Source organism: Homo sapiens, chromosome 4 (genome assembly GCF_000001405.40).
Source record: "Homo sapiens chromosome 4, GRCh38.p14 Primary Assembly".
Classification (NCBI taxonomy): Eukaryota; Metazoa; Chordata; class Mammalia; order Primates; family Hominidae; genus Homo; species Homo sapiens.
This window is the reverse complement of record NC_000004.12, coordinates 43760419-43780232: the sequence shown is the minus strand read 5'-3', so window position 1 is coordinate 43780232 and position 19814 is coordinate 43760419. Positions and strand designations below refer to the sequence as shown.

At 35.2% G+C, this 19814-nt stretch overlaps 1 long non-coding RNA gene across 1 annotated transcript, besides 2 other annotated features; it reads right to left on the bottom strand.

The window, feature by feature from the left end:
* Positions 1-13799: 13799 nt before the first annotated feature.
* LOC124900848 (uncharacterized) lies at positions 13800-16738 on the bottom strand. Its single transcript, XR_007058445.1, has 2 exons — positions 16458-16738; positions 13800-15771 (listed from the first exon to the last, which is right to left on the bottom strand). It is a non-coding gene; the product is annotated as an uncharacterized LOC124900848 (long non-coding RNA).
* Positions 16861-16930: an enhancer, noted in NCBI's record as "active region_21526". NCBI's record gives its function as "activates an Ori minimal core promoter by ATAC-STARR-seq in GM12878 lymphoblastoid cells {active_cell/tissue: GM12878}" and the evidence as "EXISTENCE:reporter gene assay evidence [ECO:0000049][PMID:35858748]".
* Positions 17001-17130: an enhancer, noted in NCBI's record as "active region_21525". NCBI's record gives its function as "activates an Ori minimal core promoter by ATAC-STARR-seq in GM12878 lymphoblastoid cells {active_cell/tissue: GM12878}" and the evidence as "EXISTENCE:reporter gene assay evidence [ECO:0000049][PMID:35858748]".

Genomic DNA, 19814 nt, shown 5'->3' with positions numbered 1-19814 from the left:
CTTCTCGCCTGTCTACCTATATCTCTGTTCAAACACATGATAAAATCTTAAACCGATGTATCTGAGCATTATAAAGCATCTACAGAGCTTACTGTCCACATAAGTATGGTTTTACTATTATGCTATGTTCATCAATATAACTTTACTTTTCGAGAAAATTCTTGACCAGAAAGAGAAATGTTGCAAATAATGTTAATGTTTTACTCCAGGAAAATTCTGGAAGACCTGTCAACTTCCCTATGAAAAGCTAGAAAGACAGTTTATACGTCAAGATTCTTTGACTTTTTGCTTTCATATCCTCAACTTGCTGTGTCCCCCAGTCGTTAACTATTATGATTCTCACCCACTCCTAAGCATGCCCTGAACCTCCTCCACTGCATCCCTGAACTGAAAGACTCACCTTAATCCAAACTCTAAAATCTCATAAATATGCCAAGTTTGCTGTTTCTGCTCTAAGATGGTACTAAGACTGTGGTAGTATTGTTCTCCTTTACTGCAGTAACCAATAAACTCACCTGTCTCATAAACATGTTTTTGGTGATATTTTAATAATCCAGTATTGAACATATCTAAAAGCAAGTATTTCTCCTTTGAACAGTTTCTGCTCCTCTTTGCTCTCACAATTCTATGAATTAAATATTTCCCTTTAATTTCATAGTAACTGGCTTTTCTCAGGGTTTGAAGAACCAGTGCACTAATTATGTTCATAATGAAAATAAAACCAGATCGCTTTTTAAGTTCATCTTCTTAAAGCTACTGCACTAAAACTGTACCTTTCATAAATAATTTAAATATTATTCTTTTCTTCTCTCAAACTGGTATGCCATAACTTTCTACTTGTCTTCTATTTATTTATAATATTGATATCAGCATTCGCTAAGAACAGACAGAAGAGGAACGTTTCCACCTGGCCACATGATTGGCACGAAGGCACATGGTCCAAGACAGGTAATTTAGGGTTCTCTCTTAAGCTTTCTCTGTCAAGTTATGGATTTTTTATTTTTTATTTTTTCAGTTGCTACTAACCAGGGATCATGCAAGTCAATGTGTATACTCTCCTCCATGTAGACAAGGGTTGGCTAACTTTTCTGTAAAGAGCTAAATAGCACACTTTTTGGGATTTGTGGGCCATTTGATTTCTGTCTTTATTACCCAGGTCTGCAATTGTAGCATGAAAGTCATAGACAAAATGTAAATGAAGTGGTAGTGTTCTATTAAAACTTTATTTACAAAAACAGATGGTAAGTTTTTGACAAGCAATTTGTAGTTTGTAAACTCCTGATTTAGAATCCACATGATAAACAGACAGGTCATGACTGCGTTATTTGATCACCAGAATTCATTTCTATTTATTTGCATTTGATACAACTTGATGTTATCACAGCCAAGAACAGAGAGATGCAGACTCTGATAATATGGTTTGAGATCTGTGTTAGTTACCTACTGCTGCATAAGAAATTACTCTAAAAAGTAGCAGCTTGAAGCAATACACAGTTATTACCTCTTAGTTTCTGTTTGTCAGGAATCCAGAAGTGGCTTAGCTTGTGTTTTAGTCTCAGGGTCTCTCATGAGGCTCAAATGGGGTTGGAGGATCTGCTTCCAAACTCACTACTTGTTTGTTGACAGGTTTCAATTCCATGTGGTCGGTTGACTGGAGACCTCACATTTTTTCCTATGGCATTTCCATGACATGGTATCTGCTTTCCTTTGGACAAATGACAGAGACCCAGTGAGCAAGAGAGTGCCTAAGACAAAACCACAGACTTCTGATAACATAATTCTGAAAATAACATCACTTCTGCTATACACTGTTGGTCACACATGCCAACCCTGGTACAGTGTGGGAGGGGACTACACAGAAGTGTGAATTCTAAGAGCCAAGGATCACTGGGCGTTACCTTGGAAACTGACTACTGCAAGGCCCTAGATGCATCCATCTTTAAATATGCCTGAATATTTCCCTGCATTTAAAAGTTAAAATAACAAGTATCTTTCTGGTTTAAGTTTGTTTGTCCCCTATAGTGATCAAGGTGTGTTTGTTTGTTTGTTTTTCCTTATTCTATAAACCTAAAAAACACAAAATCCGATTATGGTGGTTTGAAGAGAAGAGGGTGATCAAGGGAGGGAACTCAGGAGTGTGTATTAGTCTCCATAAGTAGTCAAATGGAGTGGAGGGCATCAAGAAATAAGATTTGTGCAGCTCAAGAAAGGAATGAAGTTAAGCTGAGTTCCTGCCAGCAAAGAGGACAAATAAAGGTGTTTCATATTGATCTATCTCTGATCAGAGATGAGACACTGGACATAGAATTAAAGCAGACTCTATGTCAGGTTAAGTTTATTTTCCCATGTAGGTTTAAAGAGCAGAAAATAGGAATCAGAAGTACAGTTGAGACAAATTGTACAAGATAATAAGACTTCAATGGGATCCAATACAAGCACTGAAACTACTCAAGAATATCTGTTATTGGAAAGTTCAAGTATGAAAAATGCATGTTTATTATAATAATATAAAACACATTTGCTATTTAATAGCTACAGCTACACAGTGGTTGAGACTTTCTGAGAAAATGTGAATAAATCACACCAACCAAGCCCAGAATAAAATACAGTTATAATATAAGAATATCATTAGGATTTGTCTTATGGCAATAAATCATTTTAATAAAACTGCTGTTAACAATGCACACTGAATAGCTTAAGTTTTTTTCCCCTCTAGGAGTTCTTGAAATAAACTTCTTGCACAAACTACATTAAAAAGTATTCTAAAAGACTGAGATGTATGATTTTTTTTTTAAATATGGAGTCTCACTCTGTCACCCAGGCCGGAGTGCAGTGGTGTGATCTCAGCTCACTGCAACCTCCACATCCCACATTCCAGCAATTCTCCTGCCTCAGCCTCCCAAGTAGTTCGGATTACAGGCACCCACCATCATGCACAGCTAATTTTTGTATTTTTAGTGGAGAAGGGCTTTCCTCACGTTGGCCAGGCTGGTACTCAACTCCTGACCTCAAGTGATCCACCGGCCTCGGCCTCGCAAAGTGCTGGGATTACAGGCATAAGCCACTGCTCCTGGACCTATAGGATTTTTTTAATACTAGGAGGTAAATAATTTTAAGTATATACACATGGGTAAAATGAAGAGTGCTACTAAAAAAATTAATACAAATATAAATACTTAGATATTTTCTACTAGTTTTACTAAATATTACAAAACAAAGAATAGATTTATAAACAGTCAAAGCAAATACAAGATGCTTCTAAATTCTGTAGAATTCTTTTATATGCACTGTCTACTCAGATAAACATTAACAACATTGACTAAGGTGAAAATGGCAAACTTACCCAATAACAATAATGTAATAATAAAGGAAAATATAATATCTAATTTACTAAATAATATACCATTTTAGTTGATCACAAGACAAAATTTTTAATACCAGCAAAGTAAAATATTCATGTAATGGTCCCTCATTACAATCATTTTACATTGTATTTGTCTAATGAAAAACTTCTTGTTCATACCAGAGTTATCTTATTGTTAATAAATGTTCTTAACTCAAATTACAGCTAAAATTGCCTTATAGGAAAAGGCATTTTAAACCAACATAGCGGTGAACATACTTTATTACTGAAATATACACATTTTTAGTGCCACCTATTGGTAGAAAAAAGAGATTTACATAGAATTATTTCATGTACATATTTGTAGAAATAGGTGATGTATAGTGAAAAAAAGCACCTTAAAAATATGAACTATTTTGAAATGGTTTTAAAATTTGCAATGGATTTGCTTATTGACCTATAAATATGATAAATTGCCCACTATTTAAGGAGGTTAATAATTAAAGAAAATAATTTCTGCATATGCTATTTTTTAAAACTATTTTAATTTTTGTGGTTTTCACATCTTTGCATTAAGAAGTTGAATATAAAATTCAGAGGTAGATTTGAATAGCTGGTTTTAATTTGTTTGGAAAAACATGTAACTACTGCCTATTGTCACATCCATGCATTGGTTAAATAACATAAATATTGTACTTCCTTGTTAAAATATCATATTTACATTGAATTTAGAAATACTTAAGCATAATCTTTGTCTGTCTTTGGAGATCCGATAACAACTTCCTTGAGAGTTTGAACGTTTGTTGACTGTTTATGATATATATTAGCAAAATATCATTACCATGCTATTAAATAGAGTACAATTATATATTATTAGGTACATTTTATCTGCTATTCATTCCTATTTTAAAAAATTGAAAAAGCATCCAAATAATGCATAAAATAAAATCTCAAATAAAATGCAATATGCCATTGGTAGTAACAATTGGCAGGGAGGATTAACTTCTTTTTTTTTCTATTTTTTCTTTTTTAATAATTTTTCAAGGATCATATGCTATTTTAAAAATCAAGATAAAATATTATTGAAACTAACTAGTGAATCTGTAGTAGTCCAATAAAAATTGACACAATGTCCAATTAATAACGAAAAAGTTGTGTCTTTCCAATTAACCAATAATATAAAAATAATTGGGTTTTTATTACTGTTGATTTTTAAAAAGTAGTATAGAATCATAGAGTTCAAATTTCCAATGATCCAGTGATTTATAACAAGTAAAAGCAATTAACAAGAGGGTTTTAATTACCAGAAAGTCTAATTTGTACCATACCTCTATCTGTATTAGAAATAATTTTGATTATATGACAAAGATCTTCTATAGGGTGTGCAGACACTAGGCAATTTTTTTTTTTTTTTTTTTTTTTTTTTTAGACAGAGTCTCACTCTGTCACTCAGGCTGGAGTTCAATGCCACGATCATGGCTCACTGCATAGGCAACAATTTTTGTGGAGCTCTTTTTATATAAACAATTTGGTGGACGGGGCAGTGGCTCAGGGGACAGTGGCTCATGCTTGTAATCCCAGCACTTTGGGAGGCCAAGGCGAGTGCATCAGTTGAGGTCAGGAGTTCAAGACCAGCCTGGCCAACAATAGTGAAACCTCCTCTCTACTAAAAACACACAAAAAAATTAGCCAGGTGTGGTGGTGCACGCCTGTAATTTTAGCTATTCACAAGGCTAAGGTGGGAGAATCGCTTGGACCAGGACCCTGGAAGCAGAGCTTGCAGTGAGCGGAGATCACACCACTGCACTCCAACCTGGGTAATAGAGTGAGAGTCTATCTCAAAACAAAAACGAAAACAGAAACAATTTGGTTTAAAATATTTTATAATTTTATGACCCATGTCAATGAAGATTAAAAAAATTGAGGGTGGAGAGAAGTACTTATGTATTTGTTTATTTTCCAGTGAATACACATAAACATTCTTAATAATGTCCAGTCCAGTCACCATTGCTTTCTGTTCTTGTCCAGGAGCCATCTTTTCACATTCTTTATTTTCAAATGCAATCTGCCTAGCTAATTTCATATCTTTAACCCAAAGGAAAAATATAACAATACTACTATTACAATGCCATGGCCTGTCAGAATCTATTTGTATTAAAACATTTAGGTCTTCTTGCTTCTGTGGTTTCCTAATGTCATTTATGTAATGCAGATTACATCCTTATTCATGGCACAGCATCATCCATTATGACACCCACGACTATTGGCATCAAATGGCTCTCAAAAGTTGTTACTATGGTTCATTGACAATAACAACAAATCCAATTCTTACCTAGATTATTCAGGGAAAGATAAATAATAATTCATTTCATGACTATGTTAAATTTAGTTTTAACATAATACTGTAAACGCAAAATAACACATTGTTCAGCCATATCTTCTCTAGAACTCTTTAGGCCACAATTACTACATTCCTAGGTTGTGATCAGATAATGCTGGCTGAACCCCTGTTTTCCACGCCACATTACCCAAGCAGGCATCCTTTACCTTGTTCACAACACCTCCTTCCCCTGCTGGCATCCAAAGCCATCACCCCAACCCTTCCATGGGCTGGGTACCAAGTGTCAGCTAGTTTTTGGGAATGGCTCAACCTGTATTTCTTTTGTCAATATTTTTATCGTGGTAAAATACACATAATATAAAATTTACCATCTTAACCCTTTTTAAGTGTAGAATTGTGTGGTATTAACATTCATAGTACTGTGTAACCATCACCACTATCCATCTCCAGAAATCATTTTATCTTTCAAAACTGAGACTCTGTACACATTAAACAAATCTCCCCATTCCTACCTTCCTCCAGTCCCTGGTAACTACTATTCTACCCTTAGCCTCTATGACTTGGACTATTCTAAGTATGTATCTCATGGAAGTGGAATCATAAGGGTTGACCTTTTTGTAATGACTTATTTCATTTAGCAGAACGCCCTCAAGTTTCAACCATGTTGTAGCATGTGTCAAAATTTGCTTCTATTTAATGGCTGGATAATATTCCATTGTCTCTGTATATAGTACACTCTATTTATTCATTCATCTACTGATGAACACTTGGGTTTTTCTCACAATTTAACTATTTTGAATAATGCTGTTATGAAAATGAGTGTGCAAATGTCTCTTGGAGACCTAGATTTTAATTATTTCGGGTATGTACCCAACAGTGGAATTGCTGGATCATATGGTAATTTTTTTAGATGTTTTGAGCAACCACTATAATGTTTTCCACAGTGACTACCATTTCACATTCCCACAACCAATGCACAAGAGTATGAAGTACTCGATATTATCACCAACACTTTTCTGTTATTTTAATGGTAGCCATACTAATGTTTATGATGTATTATGTCACTGTAGTTTTGATTTGCATTTCCCTAATTATTAGTGATGTTGAGCATCACTTTTTGAGATGGAGTTTAGCTCTTGTTGACCAGGGTGGAGTGCAGTGGTGCGATCTGGGCTCACTGCAACCTCCGCCTCCTGGGTTCAAGCGATTTTCCTGCCTCAGCCTCCTGAGCAGCTGGGATTACAGACATGTGACACCATGCCTGATTAATTTTGTATTTTTAGTAGAGATGGGGTTTCTCCATGTTGGTCAGGTTAGTCTCAAACTCCCGACCTCAGGTGATCCTCCCGCCTCGGCCTCCCAAAGTGCTGGAATTACAGGTGTGAGCCACCGTGCCTGGCCAAGCATCACTTTTAATAGTCCTTTGTCTATTATTGAATCAGGTTGTTTGAGGTTGTTTGCTTTTTGTTAAGTTTTCAGGAGTTATTAATATATTCTGGCTATTAATCTCTTATCAGATATATGATTTCCAAATATTTTTCATTCTCTAGGTAGCTTTTTTGTTCTGCTCTTTGTGGTTTTTAACACACAAAATTTTTAAATTTTCATGAAGTCATATTTTTCTAGCTTCTCTTTTGTTGCCAAATTTTGTTTGCCAAAAGGAAAACAAAATTTAGTGTTGTATCCAGGAAATCATTGACAAATTCAACCTTTGAAGCTTTTGCCCTGTTTTTTCCAAGAGTTTTATATTTTTAGCTCTTAAGTGTAAGTCTTTGATCCATTTTGAGTTAATTTTTATATATGGTGTTATATATGGTGTCCAGCTTCATTCTTTTGCACGTGGATATCCAGTTTTCACAGCACCTTTTGTTGAATTGACTGGTCATTCCTATTGAATGTTTTTGGCACCCTTGTGACAAGTTATTTGGATACATATGTAAGGGTTTATTTCTGGAATCTCTATTTTATTCCATTGGTCTATACGTCTGTCATTATGTTAGTACCACACTGTTTTGACTACCATATCATTGTTTTGTTGTGTTTTGAAATCAGGAAGTATAAGTTCTCCAGCTTTGTTTCTCAAAATTGTTTTGGTTATTCAACATCTCCTGGGATTTCAAATAAATTTTAAGATTTTATTTTAATTTCTGCAAAAATCATTATTGGGATTTTTATAGGGATTGCATTAAATTTGTAGATTGTTTTGGGTAGTATTGACAACTTAATATTAACTCTTCCAATCCATAGTTATGGGATACACTTCCATTTATTTTTGGGGGGCAGTATTGACATCTTAATAATATTAACTCTTCCAATCCATTGTTATGTGATACACTTCCATTTATTTATGGCTCCAATTTCTTTTAGCAACATGTTCAAGTTTTCATTGTACAAGTCTTGTTTAAGTTAATTGCTAAACATTGTTCTTTTTGATTCCCTTGGATGCAAAATTCTTTTCCTAATTTTCTTTCCAGCTTATTTATTGTTTATTGCCAGTGTATAGTATTGCAACTGATTTTTGCATGTGTTGACTTTGTATCCCGCTACTTTGCTGAATTTATTTATTAGTTGTAAAAGTTTTTCTGTGGATTCTTTATGGATTTCTGCATATAAGATCATATCATCTGCAAACACGGATAATTTTATTTCTTCTTTTCTAGTTAAATGTCCTTTACTTTATTCCTGATCTTATAAGAAAAGCTTTCGGTTGTCTCCCATGGAATATGACATTTACGGTGTTTTTTATTATACATAACTTTTTTTTATATTTAGGCAGCTTTGTTATATTCCAACTTTGTTTACTGTTTTTATCATGAAAGGGTGTTGTATTTTGTCAATGCATTTTCTGCATCATTTGAAATGATCATGTCTATTTTTCTACCTCATTCTGTTATTGCAGTATGGTATATTGGTCAATTTTCATACATTGAACCATCTTTGTGTTCCAGGAATAAATCTCACTTGATATGATGTATATATTCCTTTTAATATGCTGCTGATTTGATTTGCTAGTATTTTGTTGAGGATTTTGGCATCAATGTTTATAGGGGACATTGGCCTATATTTTCATTTTTAGTATAGTGTCTTTTTCTGGCTTTGGAATCAGGGTCATGCTGACCTCATAGAAAAATTTAGCAAGTATTTCCTCTTCAATTTCTTGAAAAAAAATTGAAGTAATGGTGTTAGCTCTTTAAATGTTTGGTAGAATTTACCAGTTAAGCCATCAGGCCCAGGACTTTTCTTTATTGGAAGGTTGTTTTTTGATTATTCAATATCCTTATTAGCTATAGGCATATTCAGATTTTTTAATTTCTTTGTGATTTAGTCTTGGTAAGTTTTGCGTTAATAGCAGTTTGCCCATTTCATCTAAGTTGAGTTTGTTGGTATACAATTGTTCTTAGTACTTTTATAATCCTTTCTATTTCTGTAGAATTGGTGGTAGTTTCTGATTTTAGTATTAGGGATCTTCTCTCTTATTTTCTTAGTGTAACTAGGTAATGGCTTTTAAATTTTAACAGTCTTTTCATAGAACCAACTTTTGGTTTCCTTGATATTTTCTATTGATTTTTTCCCTACTTTATTGTTCTATCTTCTAATCTCTATTGTTTCCTCCTTTCTGCTATTTTTCAGCATAGTTTATGTTTTCTGGTTCCTTGAGTTGTAAAGTTAGATGGCTGGCTTGAGCTATCTTTTGTAAAAAAATGCCTGCCACCAATTTCACTGCACTTAGTTGAAAGAGACAGAGAGGTAGCAATGTGGTTATAACATGGGCAAGTGCGAAAGCTCAGGTTCACACACAAAACTAGTCAGATCACTGCAGTAGCCTAGAACCCTGAATGTATTTTGTGTGAAATTTAAGTGAGCCTCACTCAAAACCACCATTTTTGGGTCTTGGATGTTCCTTGTGAACTTTACAAAGGCTAAGCCCAAACCAGCTCTTCTTTCTTACTTGACTTCTAGGTAATTTTTATCTGATTTCTTAAGAAAAGGGGATGCCGTCTCTTCTTGAATTCCATTATCATTTCATAAACACTATCTTACTCCATGTCTTGATAAATCATAGAGAACATAAATATAATTAAAAACTTTGGCTTTCGACTGGGTGCTGTGGCTCATGCCTATAATCCCAGCACTTTGGGAGGCCGAGGCAGGCAGATCACTTGAGGTCAGGAGTTTGAGACCAGCCTGGCCAAAATGGTGAAACCCCATCTCTACTAAAAATACAAAAATTAGCTGATCATGGTAGCAGGTGCCTGTAATCCCAGCTACTCAGGAGGCTGAGGCTGGAGAATAGCTTGAACCCAGGAGGCAGAGGTTGCAGTGAGCCAAGATCTCACCACTGCACTCCAGCCTGGATGACAGAGTGCAACTCTGTCTCAAAACAAACAAACAACAACAACAAAAAACAAAAACAAGAAAAAACTTCGGCTTTCAAAAATAAGTACATAAATGCTGGTTTTAGAAGTCATAAACTGGGCATTGATTCTGTTTTTATTGCTTTTGCAGCAATCCTAATTCTTCTAAAAGGCACGTGGAAGTCTCTGGCTAACAAAGAGTAGGTCATGAACAGAAAAGTAAACAAAAGTAAAAATGAACAGAAAAGTTTATAAAAAGCCAAACAATTAATATTCCAAACAGTAGTAATTAATGTTATTATCTTGCTCTGGCTATTTTACTATTGAATTTCCATAAGATTGTATTCAAATAATCACTCCTCCAGTGATTATTGTTTTTATTTTTGAATTGTGCCTACAGTAACTTGGGATTGCTCCTTCTAAGAAATTTGTGAAATAGATATTATAATGTGCACTTTAACAATAAGGAAGTGTATGACTGCTATTGTTTTAATGTTTGTCCCCTCCAAAATGCATGGTGGGATTTAATTGCAACTGTAACAGCATTAAGAGATAGGAACTTTACAAAGTGATTAGGCCATTGGGATCCATTCTTATGGGAGAGTTTAATATCTTAATAAAAGATATTTTTGGTATGGACTCTCTATGTTGGCCCCCTGATGTCTTTAAATGTGAGAATCCAGCATTTCCCTTGTCTTCGGAGGATACAACATGCAAGGCACCATCTTGGAAGCAGAGAAATCAGGCCATGGGCCTGCTGATCCCTTGACCTTGAACTTCCCAGCCTCCAGTATCATGAGCCAATAAATTTCAGTTTCTTATAAATTGCACAATTTCAGGTATGCCATTATAGCAGCACAAATAAATTGGTACCAGAGAAGTGGAGTGTTGCTATAACACAGCCTCAAAATGGGAAAGTGGCTTTAGAACTGGATAGTGGAATAGAAGCTGAAATAGTTTTGAAGTTAATGCTTGAAAAAGTCTGGTGAGGGTTCAGAAGAAAAGGAATGCTATAGGGAAAGTCTGAAACATTTAAAGATTACTTAAGTGGTTGAAAACAGTGTTGATAGGAATATGGACAGTAAAGGCAATTTTGCGGAGGTCTCAGATGCGAATGAGTAAAAGTCATCCTTGTTATACATTGGCAAACTACTTGACTGAATTGTGTCGATGACTTAGAGCTTTATGGAAGGTAGAATTTAAGATTGATAAACTAGGGTATCTGTCAGAAGAAATATCTTAGCAACAAAGCATTCAGGGTGCTGTGTGGTTTCCTTTAATTGTGTATATTAAAATGTAAGCAGATAGAAATGATTTAAAGACAGCTTATGATTAAAAGGGAAGCAGAACATAAAGATCTGGAAAACTCTCAGCCAGATCATGTAAAGAATAAATAAGTGTGTTCTAGATGGAATACCAAGAGTATGGCCAACCAACTGTTTGATAAAGAGATTACTATGGATACGAGGAAACCAGGTGCTATGCATTAAGACAATGGGAAAAAGACCCCCCAGTGCATTTTGGACATGTCTGAGGCTGCCCTTCCTATCACAGGCTCTGAGCCCTATTGCCTTGAGGGCAGAATTGTTTTGGAGATGGGCCCAGGGTATGCATGGGACCTCAGTGTTGTGGTCCAGTGTAACCTAGGGTCTTTGCTCCCCACATTCTGGCACAGTGCTTCTCAGCCATTATAGCTGTGGGTAGAGTAGGCCCAGGGCAGGCTTGAGCCACTGCTCCAGATGGTGCAAGTGGTGAGCCTTGGTGGCATCCAGTTGGTGCTAATTTTGCAGGTACACACCATGCAGGAGCTATGGAGGTATGGCTCCTCATAGATTTCAAAGGATGTCATAAAGAACCTTGGGGCACAAACAGACTTTTTTCAGGGGATGAAACACTGCAGAGATTCCCCACTAGGATAATGCCGAAGGGAGAAATGGGATCAGGGCCACCTCAAGACTCTGGAACTGTAGACGTACCAGCATGCCATGCCAGCCTGGAGAAGATGAAGGCACCTGACTCCAAACCACGAGAGCTGCTTTTTGGGCTAAGCCCAGCAAAGTCATAGGGGTTGGGTTTCCTGAGGACTTAGGGGGGTCCAGCTCACACCCCAGTGTGTCTGGAAGATGGCGTATAAAGTCAAAGATTATTCCCAAGCCTTATGATTTCATGTGCTGGCCCTGTTGTGTTTTGGGCTTACTTGGTACATGTTACTGCTTCCTTCTTGACTATTTCTTTACTTGGGAATGGGATGTCTATTTTATTCTTATCCACCATCACCTTTTGGAAGTATGTCACTTGTTTAATTTCATGGGCTCATAACTGGAGAGAATTTCCCTCAGGGTGAATTATGCTTTGAGTCTCACCGATATCTAATTTAGATAGGACTCTGGACTTCGGACTTATTAGTTGATGCCAGAACAATGTAAGACGTTAGAGGCTAATGGGATGGAATAAATGTATTTTGTATTTGAGAAAGATGTAAGTTTTGGGTGGTCAGGCCAGATTGCTGTAGTTTGAATGCCTCCTCCCAAGTTCATGTTGAGATTTAATTGCCATTGCAACTACATTAAGATGTGAGGTCTTTAAGATGTGATTAGACTACAAGCACTTCACCCTCATGAGTGGATTTAGTGCATTAATAAAAGGACTTTTCAGGTTGGTTTTTCTCTCTTGACCCTCTGCCTTCCTGCCATGTGAGAATCCAGCATTCCCCTGCCCTCCAGAGGATGCCACATGCAAGGCACCATCTTGGAATCAGAGAAAAGAGAAACTGGGCCCTAACCTAGGGATACCTTGACCTTGGACTTTCCAGCCTCCAGAACTGTTAAGTTAATAAGTTTCTGTTCCTTATAAATTACCAATAAGATACTTAATTTGTGGTGGCAGTATGTTAAGAAGTTTGAAGGAACTAGAATTTATGTCCTAGCTCCGTCTGATATGAATTGTGTGAATTTTTGCATGCATACACCTTCTCTACACCTTAGCTATGTCACTTATAACATGTAAATTGAGAATGAGGTTTCTGTAAAGAGTGAAGAAAATAATACTTGTACGATGTTTAATGGTGATTGGCAGATGTTAACTAGTCAATAAAATAAAAAACTGAATTTCAAAATTATAGATGAATTAATAAAAGGTTGAATTAAACACACTTTTTACATTGCACACAGCCTTTTCAGCAGCAGAGGCCATACTGAACCTGCAAATGCAACAGAGTTAAGAGGATCAGAGTATACATAAATTTTTCTTAAATAAGTAATTTTAAAGAGCAAAAGATGCCCAATTCACTGAGCATGCTAGTCACATGAATGCATTTGGAGTAGAAACAGGAATTGAGAAATCTCTGCAGGAAGTCCACAAAACTCAAGATAAAGTTTGCTTGTTTCTAGATTTGTTTGTTTTATTTTCACTTTTTGATTCCCCTTATTGTTTCCTGTGTTTGCTCTTTTATTAGATCATGGAACCATTTATTAACACAGGAAGAGATGAAGGAGAGAGAACTATGTGGTTCTTTACTTCCTAATCTTGCCCCATCAATATCAAGCCCTGATTTAAAACAACAGCAACAGCAAAAATAGAAAACAAAACCCATGACATAAATGAAATGTCTAAATAGCGGCTGTCAAGTCATACACCTTTCAAAAGGGAGTGTCATGAAGTATTCATTGACCAATATTTACAAAGCAGTTCATATTTGTTTTTAGAATCATGAAGAAAAATGACATATTAATATTAAAAGAAGACAACTACCAGAAAAGGGTATGTTTTTATTATATTTATTAGCATGAAGAACATTACTTTGACAAAATTCTTGGACATAAAGAATTAGACTGCCTGAGCAAAAGGGGGCCTAGACTTACAAATTATCTTGTATATTGTGACTATTATAATGACTATGAACCAGAAAATCCTCTTAGACACCCATTCCCCTCCCATATTTACATTACTATCCAAATTTAATCTTAAAAATAACACTGATTAGAAAGTGTGGAACCATTCATGGAGCAAAAATAAAATGTAGATGAAATCTTTGTTTTATATTGCAATGGAAATGTTCAGGTAATGAACAGACATTTATCAAAATCATCTGTTGACTGCTCAGTCTGGCTTAAGAATACTAAAGAGCTTTTCTTTTGCATGCAAATAAATATTTACACAGCTCAGTATTTATTAAAGATGGTTTATATTTTAATAGATGTTGGTGCGGCAATAGTGTTTGGGGGCTATTCTGACAAATGTCCTTTACTGTGAGTATAAATAAAGGTATAGATATAAACATGTAGATAGATACTTCCTTTTCCTCCTCCTTCTCTTTTTCTATCCTTCTGTCTTTTCCTCTCCACACTCTTAGTGAGATGGGGTGCAATTTGGGATTCTGAGAATTCTCTGAGGAGCAGAAGTCACCAAAATCTGACGGCCAAACCTCCTGGCAGATCAGATCAACCCAGGATGGAAATTACCCAGGTCAAAGCAGATTAGCTCAGCATAATAGACTCAGGTTTTGGTTTGTGACATAAGAACACTGCATGATTTGAACAGACAACTTCCCTTATACAGCTCGAGGGATTATGACCACAGGTGACAGAAATGTGGCAGAGAAAACAGTATCCCATTTCTGCTTACAATTAATTAAAAAAAAGTCAGTAATTAAGGTGGAAGTTCAACTTTTTTTTTTTTTTACAGAGTGTTCTGAATATTTACCTGTTTAGCATTGCAGTAAGCTTACATACAGATACACACACATTAATTAAATGTATCTAAATTTTAAAACATTAAAAATGATTCAAATAAATGGAAAGGCATATTATACCTCTAGGAAGAAAAATCAATATCATAAAGATATAAATTCTCCACAAATGGATCAATAGATTCAATGAACTGTTCATAATATAAAAGTTTAATATGATGTATAATAAGGAAAGAAACCCATATGTCTATCTACAGAAGGATAGGTTAATTAATTGTGGTATATTTGTAAAATGGAATATTATTGAGCTATGTCAATGAACAAACTTTTCACAAACATCAAATGGAAGATATTCAGTAAAATGGCAACTCCTATTAAAGATATTATATTGTATTATGTATACTGAAGATAATATTTATTAATTTTGATTCCTGCAGGGATATTTACCTGAGTAGAGCATTGTTAAAACTTAAATATTTTTCCACTGCTATTTCAGCATACACTGTACCACATTAATTTAAAATGATACTGTAGCAACAATTAGCTATGTTGAAAATGGCTGCTTTTCAACTCAGAAAAGGAAAAATAGACAAAAATTCTCATGAGAATTTTTATTTATACATAAATAATTCTGTCTTTATTACTCAATGTTATTGATTACTCAGGAGTAAAAACACAGTAGTAACAAATTTAGAACAGTTTGGAAATATATATTTGGCCTGAAAACATGCATACTACCATTTTAATTTTTAAGAGATTTTTTAAATATATATAAGGAAAAATGGCATGGTAAACCAATGTCCAAATGTAGAAGTAGGAGTAGCAACTTAAATAATTCTTAAGAGTAGAAAGCTGATAATAGTTGTCCTCAGTCTTCGTTTGCATATATAAGTAGCAATATTTCTTTTACTGTAGCTTTTCTTCCTTTTTTTTTTTGTATTTTATTGAGATCACCTTTCTCAAATCCTCTCTATGAAAATTTTAGGCCTTTGATGAAATGACCTTCATATTTGGGTGCCAAAGAACCAGAGGATTTCAAATGTTCCTGATAAAGACGAGTTAAGAAATATATTTTTATTCAGTATGCCCATCCATACTCACTTACATTCAACAAGGTATAAAATTAATACATCCACTATGTTATGTCTTAAAGGCAGTTTGAAAAACAGAACCAAGGATTTGAGTTTGGGAAACCTTTGCTAGTGCAAAGACTCATGGCAAGACAAGCACCAAATACACTTTAAAATATTTATTCAGATTTATTTGTACTTCACTCTGATCCCTCCCTGCCTCTCCACCCACCCTCTTACCTGTGTACAGATTTCTAACATTATCTTCTTGAATGTACAATAGTCTAATCTACAGTTTTTTTCTGTTGTAGATATAGCCACTCCAATCCATTTTCACAAGCAGCAAGTGACATTTGTAGAAGATAGAAACCAAAATCCTACTCTAAAAATAGATTATAATGTGGTTTCTTTCTGGCTTTATTTTCTGCTACTCCCCACATTCATCCTCTCCTCTAGACACACCATCTATTTATAGTTGCTAGATGAACACTTTAAATTATTTACCATAAGTATAGGTTAGGATTCAATCATGGAACCAGAACAACTGTGAGTGATATAAAATAAAACACATTATAAGGATTTATGCCTTACAAAATTCTGGGGAAAGTGGGTGAAGTAAAGTTCCAGGAGACGGTTGAAGCATCAGAGAAAAGTCACTTACCAAGGAGACAGCTAAGGAAAACTGGTGAAGAAATCTATGGAAGAAGTTGCCTCTGTATCTGCTGGTGAGGTAGAAGTTGCTTTGATCGGTAGATAAGCCATCAGGAAGAAAAGCTCTAAACGAAATAGAAAAAAAAAAAAAAGAAAAGAAAAGACAACCTAAAATCCTTGAGAATAAACTGGTATTCACAAAGACACATCAGAATATGCTTCAAACCCAAATGATACAGGTAATCTGCAGAAGAAGCTGGTGTCTTTCACCCCAGAGTTGCACACGTGTCTGACTCAGGACTTGGAAAAGCTGAAGGAAGCGATCTGACAGCAGGCAGAGGAGCTGTGGGTCTATGCACACCAGTGAGAGAAGCCCGTGAATCAGCAGCAAATGTGCCAAGGGTTGGCCATGCATGGAGGCTTGTACTAATCTTCTGTAATGACTGCTGTTCCTCTTGTACCTTCCAAATCTCACTTAAAGCTCTTTGTGCCAAATCCTAATTATACAGGGAAAGTAGTTCTAGAAAATTCCGTGCCTGCTTGGCTAAAATCTTATAGTAAAAAACCACCACATTCTATTTATGTGTATTCCCTCCTCTGCCTGGAGAGTCCCTTCACCTCAGTGTTACCACCTAATCTAGATAGTATCTCCTCCCCCACAGAGAATTCTCTTTTAAATACACAATTTGTTTTAAATATCTCTCCTCTCATACTTCCTAACTAATGTTGCTAATGGCTATTATAATAATATATTATAAACCATAATTATTATAACATATCATATAATAATGTCTAAATATTATATTTTCTTCATTTTACATTTATGAATTTTCTAATTTTACTAACTTAAATTTCACTCCTTTAAACTTGTGTTTAAGTGTTTAATATTATTAAAAACTATTTGTGGAGGAAATAAATGAATACTATTTATCACATCCTACCCTATATATCGAATTATTTATCTGCCATCCCAACTGTATTATATGCTTCTTGAGGACAGGACTGAGTGGTCTTTTGGTGTCTCTCTATCCTCAGCACTTACTAAATGCCAGAAACATTTTATATGTTCAACCAATTTGGTTCAACATATGATTTTATATACATCACTATCTTCCTTTCTAGCAGTCAAAAAGGAGTCTTTCTTGACAGTTTTTGTATATTTGTCACAAGTTCATATTAATTGGCCACATAGTCAGAGGGCACCTAATAAGTGCTGCAAAATGTTATATTTAAATCGATATGTGTTTTTTTACGTATACCTGTATGTATACCTGACAATTCAGGATGTCTGATGTGTTCATGAGTGGATAGATACTTCATGAATAGGACAAGAAATTTTAATGTATTCATAATATTACTTGTCAGAAAGCCAAGTCATTGATCATCTTTATAATTCTCACAATGAATGACTCTAACTCATGCATACAGGCCGTCGATACTTGCTGTCACAATATAAGAATTAATTTCAGTTAAATGTTCACAGATAAATTAGAACACTTTTGCTGTTTGGATATCTGCTTTGCCTCATCACTTTTATGACTTCTCTTATCTTTCTGTTAGGCTTATAAGCTCTCTGTCTACAAATTTGACTGAGTAAGACACACCATTTGAGATATACATGTTCACATCTTACAGAAAAAAATCGTTAAACTACTCACCAGTTGAATGTAATTTAGTTCCATGCCAGTTTACTAGGCAACACATTTATTCAGCCTAATGCACTGTGTTCTGATTTCTAACAACAGAAGCCAGCTGATTTTCACAGTGAAAAACAATTTACAGATAAAAATCAATCTGTTTTACTTGACTGGATGGCAAACACCTTACAAATATTTACTTTAGCTGTTTTTTTGTTTTTTTTTTTCCTAAAGCAAAACGCTTTTAAAAATTTCAATTTGATTCGTTTTGTAAAACATTTTGGAGTTGTCCTCCTTCTCTTATTCTCTTTTCTCAGGAATTCCTTGCCCATTTTTACACTTATCATGCTCCCTTATTATTTTAATTTTTTTCTGCTTACACATCTTCAATCAAAAATCTTATTTAGGGCCAGGCATGATGGCTCACACCTGTAATCCCAGCACTTTGGGAGGCTGAAGCAGGTGGATCACTTGAGGTCAGGAGTTCAAGACCAGCCTGGCCAAAATGGTGAAACCCCGTCTCTACTAAAAATACAAAAAAATTAGCCAGATGTGGTAGTGCACTCCTGTAATACCAGATACTCTGGAGGCTGAGGCAGGAGAATTGCTTGAACCCTGGAGATGAAGGTTGCAGTGGGCCGAGATCATGCCACTGCACTCCAGCCTGGGCAACAGAGTGAGACTCCACATCTCAAAAAAAAAAAAAAATCTTAAAACCTTTTAGGGAGAGTCTTATACAACTTCCACTTCTGATTATGACAGATTATATTTTACCAGACCAATCTGTCTGTGAAAGCAACAACTGTAGATGATGTGTGAATTACAAAAACAAAAACAACAAAATTGCTCCTTAAAGCCATCAGAGAATATTCAGTAAAATCAAAATGTGAGTGGCCAAACTCCAGAACAGAAATGGTTTGATTCACTGGATAAGACATTGACTGACTCTTTATTGATGCAGAATCCATTTGAATAGAAAGTAGGGGGTCAGCGTGTTTTCAGCCTCCCAGGACTAAGAGACAAAAACTGAAGTTCTGGGCTACCAAGGCAGCTAGGAATTGGGAAACTAGGATTCTGGAGAATAGGAAACCATATGCATTTTGTCCATTTTTCTCTTTATAGTACTTGTAGATTTTGAAGATGAATGGAAAAAGAGGAGAAGAAGCCAAATATAAAGCAAAAATGGAGAGACAAAGCAAAGGAGAGCTCCTGGTAGCCTTGAAGTATTGAGGAAACAGTTGTGAGTTCAGAGCAAACCAAGCAGAAAGGTCCCCAGTAAATACCCAGGCTTTCAACTGCAACCTCTGAAAGGAGATACTCAGGGAGGAAGAGGAAACTGGAAATTGATTGGTGCAGAATAATTTAAAACCCCTTCTCCAATCATTTGCTCCAGATTGATACAAGGTATTCTGTTCCTATTTGGTTGACTTTCCAAAATAAATAAATAAATAAATACACACACAAAATCCTTCCAGGAGGAACATCACATCACCTTGAGTTTTTACAGTGCTTTCTTATACAACGATCTAAAATGGCCCAGCATGTCTAGAGAAAGGATCAGAAAGAAAAGAAAAAATAAGACAATAATAATAAAAGATAAACAAAAAATGGGAGTTTTTAGACATGAACATTAAAATAATTTTTACTTATATGTTTAAGTAAATAAAGACAATATTGTGAATTTCACCAGTGAGATAGAAAGGTCCCAGCGACAATCTCCTTTTCTTGTG